The sequence below is a fragment of the Homo sapiens genome, chromosome 4 (assembly GCF_000001405.40).
Source record: "Homo sapiens chromosome 4, GRCh38.p14 Primary Assembly".
Taxonomy (NCBI): Eukaryota; Metazoa; Chordata; class Mammalia; order Primates; family Hominidae; genus Homo; species Homo sapiens.
Window position 1 is genome coordinate 41,961,072 of NC_000004.12, and position 9,485 is coordinate 41,970,556.

Genomic DNA, 9,485 nt, shown 5'->3' on the forward strand with positions numbered 1-9,485 from the left:
GCAATTCTGACAGGTGAATAAATATTAATTAGTAAATGAGTTATGTACATAAGGGGAAAAGTGGTAATGCAATAAGTAGAGTTAGGAAAATTGATTTCCTAAAGATTTAGTAGTGTGAGGTCTTAGGGACATATGCATTATTGATTCATAATGCTCTTTCCTTTAGCATATGGAAATATTTGGAGCTGTTTATAAAATAATTCTGAGCTTTGTGAAGGGAAAAATATTTCATTACTCAAGGCTGGTCGAATGGAGAAACTCCAAGAAAGTGGTGCACTGAGATCCCTGAGAATTATCAGTCTAAGCAGGTGATGTGTCAACAAAGATCTTTTAAAAGTGTATGTTATCATGGCAAATTTTGAACATGCACAAAAATAGAATAGTGTAATGAACCTCCATATTCTTATCTCCCAGCCCTCACAATCCTTGGCTATGGTCAAATGTGCCCTACCCTCATCCCTATTCACTTTCCTTTCTCCTGGTTTAAATCATTTCATGTTATTTTAAATGACTTAGTAAAATTTTAATTATGTATCTCTAACATATTAAGATGCTTTTTAAGATCAATATAAAACGTTAACGATAATTATCATAGGTCTTTTAGGTTGGATGACTGGAAATGATTAAGAGTAATGCCCTGATAGGAAAAAGGCTTACGTGATTTTATTGCAATATATTATGAAGGGAGGGGGAAATTCCAACATTTTTTAGTAAAGGGAAGACTTGTCTCCATATATTGTTGCCCTCAGGAAAATGCAGAGATAAACATCTCCCTCTTGGGGAAGTTATAGAAAGAGATGTTGCCATTCTACTCTTTACTCTCTCCCTCCCAGTGGAGATCGTGTATCCAACTATTTTTCCCTGAAAACCTGAGTATATGGGATTTGGGTTGGTGCTGTCACCAGAAACAGAATAGGAGGCAGTTAAGTTCTGCAAAGGAAGGGAGTCCTGTTAACCAAAGAAGGGGGCGGGGGTAAGTTGGGGCTATGCCACTAAATTAAGACAAATTTAATATTAGTACCATTGTCTTCATTAAGTTGCCCTTAAAACAAATATTAATAAATATCAAGTAATTAGATTGTGAGTTTGTGAATTTAATCACAGATTTACTTTAAAATTTTATATACTTTAAAAAAATAGTTTGTATCATTTTTTTAAATCCTACAAATTTGGAGCTTTACAACCATTATTGCCTAGTGTTCCAACAATAATAGACCATTCCACTTAAGTAACAAACCAAGACTCTGAAGACACAGAAATAAAACTTGTAGTAATCCAGAATAAAATAGGTATTTCTTTTTTTTTGTCATTAATTTATACAAGATACAGTCATATACTTAGGTTTCTTTAAAATAATGGGTCTTGATACTATGAATTCATAGTATTGTGTTTGGCAGTTCAACTTAGTAATATCCAAAGCATGTAGTTCATCTTTTGAAGTGTTTAGAAATGGGCTTTAAAAACAAAAACAAAAACACTTTATCTGGATGGCTAAACTTCCTTTTTGGGCTCTTGTGCTATTGGGCTTATTTTGAATTAATTTTTTTAATGAACTTTATATTTTCCTGTCCTGAGGACAGTCCTTAATTTCAAAAGAAACATTTCTTGGAAAAATATTGAATCTGGACTTTGTGCATGGTGGTTGCACGCCTGTAATCCCAACTACTTGGGAGGCTGAGGTGGGAGAATCGCTTGAGCCCAGGAGTTTGAGACCAGCCTGGAAAACAGCAAGACCTCATCCCCTTTAAGAAACAAAAGAAAAATATTGAAACCATTTCAAGGAAAATATTTTAATATGTGCTATTTTATATTTTTAGTTATGTTCTTAATTATATGGATATATTGCTGGGAATAAAAAAAATTTTTCAAAGTAAACATCCTAATAACCTACCAGAGGGGTTTTTGGTGGTGGTGTTTGCCTTTTAATATTATGGCAAAGTTATACGTAAGGAGACTTATTACAAGTCTATTTGGGTTTTTGTGTTCATTTTACTTATTCTGAAATGGTTTTTTGGCTGCTATAATGTTATACATACATACAGTAGTAGTATGCTTTCAGTAGCATCATGTTTTTAAATCTTTGCTATTAATATACTCAAATAACCTTAAAGCAGGTTTATAAAATCATTCTTTGTTCATTTTCTACTTACTGGTAATTATCACATCCTTAAATTTTGAAACATTAGAATCTTACCTTAATTACAAGTAAACTGCCCCCTGGTGGCAATTTTTCTGAAAAATAATTCTAGTGGCTCTCATTTTGCTTGTAACTAAAAAAATTGGGGGAAAAGGAAACAGGTTTTGACTGTTCCAGCTGGTTTTTACACTAACCTATCTAAGCAAGGTTCAAAAGGGCTTCTTGGTCATGATTTTAACCTTTTCATGCTATAAAAAAAAATAGGCCGGGCGCGGTGGCTCACGCCTGTAATCCCAGCACTTTGGGAGGCCGAGGCGGGCGGATCACGAGGTCAGGAGATCGAGACCATCCCGGCTAAAACGGTGAAACCCCGTCTCTACTAAAAATACAAAAAATTAGCCGGGCGTAGTGGCTGGCGCCTGTAGTCCCAGCTACTTGGGAGGCTGAGGCAGGAGAATGGCGTGAACCCGGGAGGCGGAGCTTGCAGTGAGCCGAGATCGCGCCACTGCACTCCAGCCTGGGCGACAGAGCGAGGCTCCGTCTCAAAAAAAAAAAAAAAAAAAAAAATTTAGACCATTATCATTTGTTAATACATACTACTAGTTTTCAAGGTGCCTAAGTGAGCTAATAATTTTTTCCATTATATTTATGCAACAAGTAGAAGGACGTTTTAGGGTTTCAATTTAAGACTGAGAAACTAAAATTCCACTGAGAAGTCAGTGAATTTCTTATTGATAGTTGTGAAGGAAAGCTTTAGAATACAGTCCTCATTCAGATACTGTTCACTGAAGTGTGCTTTTTTTTTTTTTTTTTTTTTTTTTTTTTTTTTTGAGAGTCTCGCTCTGTCGCCAGACTGGAGTGCAGTGGTGTGATCTCAGCTCACTGCAACCTCTGCCTCCTGGGTTCGATTCTCCTGCCTCAGCCTCCCAAGTAGTTGGGACTACAGGCGTGCACCACCACGCCCAGCTAATTTTTGTATTTTTACTAGAGATGGGGTTTCATCATGTTGGCCAAGATGATCTCGATCTCTCGACTTTGTGATCCACCTGCCTTGGCCTCCCAAAGTGCTGGGATTACAGGTGTGAGCCGCCGTGCCCAGCCATTGAAGTGTGCATTTTTGTATGGTAAGTAACAGTGTCAGAAATGTGCCCATGAATGTTCTTTGGGTTGCCATCATAATTTGGGCATTCACATGATTAGTTCTTTTTTAAAAATTTATAGAATTTGTGGAATACATTTGCTATTGGTACAGTCTCAGAAGAATGGTTTCAGATACTCTTAGATGTCTTTAGAGTTTTGAGCAAGGATAAGAGGAGATACTTAAGAGTTACTCTTGTAAATGAACATTTTTGACTATTAATGGGTCTCTTATAAATGGATCTTTTATGTCATGCCAAGGGGAAAAGAAGTATTGCGTAATCCATATACCAAATATTCCATTTATTTTGCCTTGAAACAATACATTATTACAGATATCAGTAGAACTTAACACTGGTTAATTATTTTATTTCTAATAATTTTTAATTTATAGACTGTCTAGCCCATCTATATTTTCACTTTTTGGTTTCACCATTAAATAGAGTATGCAAAAAGCCTTTTTGAAGAATACAAAAGAAGTTTGGGTTATCATAATTAACCACTTGGTAAATCTGGTTATAAATCACAGTACAAAGTCACATAGACTCTTTTGAGGAATTTTTTTTTTTTTTTTTCTTGAGACGGAGTCTCTCTCTGTCACCCGGCTGGAGTGCAGTGGCCACACCCGGCTAATTTTTTGTATTCTTAATAGAGACGGGGTTTCACCATATTAGCCTGGATGGTCTCGCTCTCCTGACCTTGTGATCCGCCCGCCTCAGCCTCCCAAAGTGGTGCAATTACAGGCGTGAGCCACCGCGCCCGGCCTCTTTTGAGGAATTTTTAAAAAATGGTTGCTATTGAATATTGATCAGGCTTTTAAGAAAAAACAAATGGCCAAGACCCCAAGTGTTCAAGTAGGTGATCACTATTACCTAAGGAAAATAAACACAGGATGATGTCACACACACATGAATTGATAATATTGGTAGTAGTGGGAAGACTGAACTGAGCTGGAAAGTACATGGTTTGCCTAAAAGCATTCAGACTTTAAAAACGTGTGCTAATCGCACATTAGATCCAATTTAGCAGCCCAAGTGTTAAAACATTATCAAGGAGTTATAAATAATAGCATCAGGAGTGATGGCAGGAAGTCCTCAAATAGTGGTTCCAATCTGTGGACATTCTCTTAGTTTCTCTGGGCCTCGATTTTTTCATTTGTAGAATGTGGCTAGGAAAGGATTATTTGAGGTAGTGTATGTGAAAGTATTTGTATACTATAAAGATTTATATGAACCAACAGCTATATTTTACATTATGTTATGCTTCGCATTTTACCTTTGGAGATTCTGGGACTCTTGGAATTTAAAAGAACGTCCCCCAAGGCCATACTTGATGAGTTGGTATTGGCTAAAATTTGTGTGACCATATTTTAAGTCACCTTTCTGAGAAAAAATTCTTTGGATCTGTGTCACCAGTCGAATTACTTTACTCTCTTTTTCTTTTATTTCCATAGGTTTTGGGGGAACAGGTGATGTTTGGTTACATGAGTAAGTTCTTTAGTGATTTGTGAGATTTTGGGGCTTTTGCAAGGGACAAAAAGCAAAAGTGCTATTACTTAGCAAAATCAGATTCACTTCTGTAACTGTGAGAGCACTCTCCAGAAGTACATCTTCAAAATCAGGAAATGATTATAAGTCCTCTTCAAAACCATGCTCCTTCTAAACCCTCCCAAATGAATACATAAGAAGGATGCAAACACAGTCTATGAAATGCTCAAAACTAAATGTATCCGTAATGTTTAGAAAATACAGACCAGAATTACAATTCTGTTTTTATTAGGGATTATCCAGAAATTGGTAGAGACTTGATTTTTATCCTGAGGCACCTAGGAAGAAGCAGGGATAAAACCATTATCATTGGAAGTCACTACAGTCACACCTGAAGAACGACTTTCAGTCAACAATGGTGCATATATCATGGTGGTCCCAGAAAATTAAAATGGAGCTGAAAAATTCATATCTCCTAGAGGTGCCTTAGCTCTTCTAATGTTGCAGGGCAATGTATTGTGTTTGTGGTGATATTGGTATAAACATATCTACTGTGCTGCCAGTTGTATGGAAGTATAGCAGATACAGTTGTGTACATCAGGTAATACTTGAAAATGACAATAAACAACTATGTCACTGGTTTATGTTATCGGTTATTGTTAGAGTGTACACGTACTTAACAATAACAAAGTAACTGTGAAACAGCCTCCGGCAGTTTTTTCAGGAGGTATCCAGAAGAAGGCAGTGTTATCGTAGATGACAGCTCCATGCATGTTACCGCCCCTGAAGACCTTCCAGTGGAACCTGGAGGTAGAAGACAGTGATATTGATGATCCTAAACCTGTGTAGGCCTAAGCTAATGGGGTGTGTTTGTGCCTTCCTTTTTAATTTAAAAAGTTTAAAATGTTAACAAGAATTTAAAATAGAAAAAAGCTTATAGAATATGAGGATAAAAGGAAAGAAAATATTTTTGTATGTTTGTACAATGTGCTTGTGTTTTAAGCTAAGTGTTATTACAAAAGAGTTTAAAAAGTTGGCCGGGTACAATGGCTCACACCTGTAATCCCAGCACTATGGGAGGCCAAGGCAGAGGGATCGCTTGAGCCCGGGATTTGGAAACCAGCCTGGGCAACATAGTGAAAACTCGTCGCTACAAAAATTAAAACAAACAAACAAGCCAGGTGTTGTGGTGCACATTTGTAGTTTCAGCTCTCTGGAAGGCTGAGGTGGGAGTATTGCTTGAGCCCAGGAATTGGTGGTTGCAGTGAGCCATGATAACATCACTGCACTTCATCTTGGGCAACAGAGAGACACTGTCTTCGTGGGGGGGAAGAAAAGTCAAAAAGTTTTTAAAGTAAAAAAAGTTACAGAAAGCTACGGTTTATTATTGAAGGAAGAAAAGTTTAAAAATAAATTTAGTGTAGTCTAAATATATAGTATTTATGAAGTCTACAGTAGTATACAGATATGTCCTAGGCCTTCACATTCACTCACTACTCACTCACCCAGGGCAACTTCCAGTCCTACAAGCTCCATTCATGTTAAGTGCCCTATACAGGTCTACCCTTTTTAAAAAAAATCTTTTATACTGTATTTTTACTGTACTTTTTCTGTGTTTAGATACACAAATAACCATTGTGTTTCAATTGCCTACAGTCTTCAGTAGAGTCACATGCTGTACAGCTTTGTAATCTGTGAGCAATAGGCTCTAGCCTATTTGTGTAGTACTCTATACCATCTAGGTTTGTGTAAGTACACTATGATGTTTGCACAATGACTAAATCACCTAACGATGTATTTCTCAGAATGTAATCCTTCATTAAGCGATGTATGACTATATAATGTGACCAGTCTCTAGGGCTCTGAAGTATGACAGACCTGGTTGCCATCACTTTGTAGCTGTGTGACCTGTTTTTCCTCTGTAAAATGGGAATAACAATACCCCATACTTTGTGAAATGGTAAAATGAGCTGAAACATATAGTGTTTAGCATAGTATTTCACATAATGCTCAGTAATTTTGGCTGTCATCATCATCATCATCAATGGTATGGTTTGGCTTGTGTCCCCACCCAAATTTAATCTTGAATTGTAGTTCTCATAATCCAATTTGAGTGACCTGGTGGGAGTGACCTGGTGGGAGGTAATTGAATCATAAGGGTGGTTACCCTCATGCTGCTGTTCTTGTGATAATGAGTGAGTTACCCAGTCTGGGGCAGTTCTTTATAGCAGTGTGAGAACAGACTAATACAGTAAATTAGTACCAGGTACTGGGGTACTGCTGTAGAGATACCCCAAAATATAGAAGCAACTTTGGGACTGGGTAACAAGTAGAGGTTGGAACAGTTTGGAGAGCTCAGAAGTCAGGAAGATGCTGGAAAGTTTGGAACTTCCTGGAGCATTTTGGCATTGACCAAAATGCTAGTAGTAATACAGACAATGAAGTCCAGGCTGAGGTGGTCTCAGATGGAGATGAGGAACTTACTGGGAACTGGAATAAAGGTGACTCTTGCTATGTTTTAGCAAAGAGATTGGTGGCATTTTGCCCCTGCCCTAGAGATCTATGGAACTTTGAACTTGAGAGAGATGATTTAGGGTATCCAGCAGAAGAAATTACTAAGCAGCAAAGTGTTCAAGAGGTGACTTGGGTGCTGTTAAAAGCATTTGAGTTTTATGTATTCGCAAAGATATGGTTTGGAATTGGAACTTATGTTTAAAAGGGAAGTAGAGCATAAAATTTGCAGGCTGATGATGTGATAGAAAAGAAAAACCCATTTTCTGAGGAGAAATTCAAGCTGGCTGCAGAAATTTGCATAAAGAGGAGCCAAAGGTTAATTGCCAAAACAATGGGGAAAATGTCTCCAGGGCATGTCAGAGGTCTTCTGGCAGTCTCTCCCATCACAGGCCCAGAGGCCTAGGAATTAAAAATGGTTTTGTGGGCTGGGCCCAGGACCTTGTTGCTTTGTGCAGTTTTGGGGACTTGGTGCTCTGTGTCCCAGCTATGGCTAAAAGGGGCCTAGGTACAGCTCAGGCCATGGCTTCAGAGTATGCAGGCCACAAGCTTTGGCAGCTTCCATGTGGTGTTGAGTCTGTGGGTGCGCAGAAGAACTGAGATCTGGGAACCTCCACCTAGATTTCAGAGGATGTATGGAAATGCCTGGATGTCCAGGCAGAAGTTTGCTGCAGGGGTGGAACCCTCATGCAGAACCTCTGCTAGGGCAGTGTGGAAGGAAAATGTGTGGTTGGTGCCCCCACACAAGAGTACCCACTGGGGCACTGCCTCATGGAGCTCTGAGAAGAAGGCCACTGTCCTCCAGACCCCAGAGTGGTAGATCTGTTAACAGCTTGCACCATGCTCCTGGAAAAGCCACAGACACTCAACACCAGCTTGTGACAGCAGCCAGGAGGGAGCTGTACCCTGCAAAGCCACAGGGGTGGAGCTGCCCAATGCTGTGGGAGTCCACTTCTTGCATCAGCATGACCCAAATGTGAGACATGAAGTCAAAGGAGATCATTTTGGAACTTTAAGGTTTAATGACTGCCCTACTGGATTTCAGACTTGCATGGGGCCTGTAGCCCCTTTGTTTTAGCCAATTTCTCCCATTTGGAATGGGTGTATTTACCCAGTGCCTGTACCTCCATTGTATCTAGGAAGTAACTTGCTTTTGATTTTAGAGGCTCATAGGTGGAAGGGACTTGCCTTGTCTCAGATGAGACTTAAGACTTGGTCTTTTGAATTCATGCTGGAGTGAGTTAAGGCTTTGGGGGTCTGTTGGGAAGGCATGATTGTGTTTTGAAATGTGAGGACATGAAATTTGGGAGGGGCCACGGTTGGAATGATATAGTTTGGTTGCTTCCCCACCCAAATCTCATCTTGAATTGTAGCACCCATAATCCACATGTATCATGGAGGGATCTGGTAGAAGGTAATTGACCTCCATGCTGTTCTCATGATAGTGAGTTCTCATGAGACCTGATGGTTTTATAAGGGGCTTTCCTCCCCTTCACTCTGCACTTCTCCTTGCTGCCTCCATGTGAAGAAGGGTGTATTTACTTCCCCTTCTGACATGATTGTGAGTTTCCTGAGACTTCCCCAGCCATGCTGAACTGTGAGTCAATTAAATGTCTTTTCTTTATAAATTACCAGTCTTGGGTATGTCTTTATATAGCAACATGAGAACAGACTAATACAATCTATAATTAGAACAATTCTGTGAATTGCTTTATTGAATAAATTGAGTAGTTAACATAATTTCCCACATATTTATATTCCAAAGGATTAGAAAATAACTATTCTTCAGATACTTTCTGGTAATTGATGTTTGTAATGATGACCACCCCCTGTCTTGTTCCCTCCCAGATAGTCTAAAATTTTGAATTGTCAAAATTTAAATTTTGGAGACACATGATATTGTGATATAATGATAACAGGAATGAATAAAGATCAGATACCAGACTTCAGTATTAATTACATACAGCTCTGTGACCTTGGGTAACAAATTTAACCACTCTGAACATCTGTTTCCTCTTGTAAAATTTGGAGAGTAATATTGAATGAAAATAATTTTGTGTGGTGGAAGGTTCTCTCCCCTACCACTCTCTTCCATTTTCTAGAATGTTGAATCTCTCAAGGCTATCTTAATAGAAGGGTGTGTTTTTGGCCAGAACACAACTGTAATCACAACTGTAATCCCAGTTGTCTCACAACTGTAATCCCAGCACTTT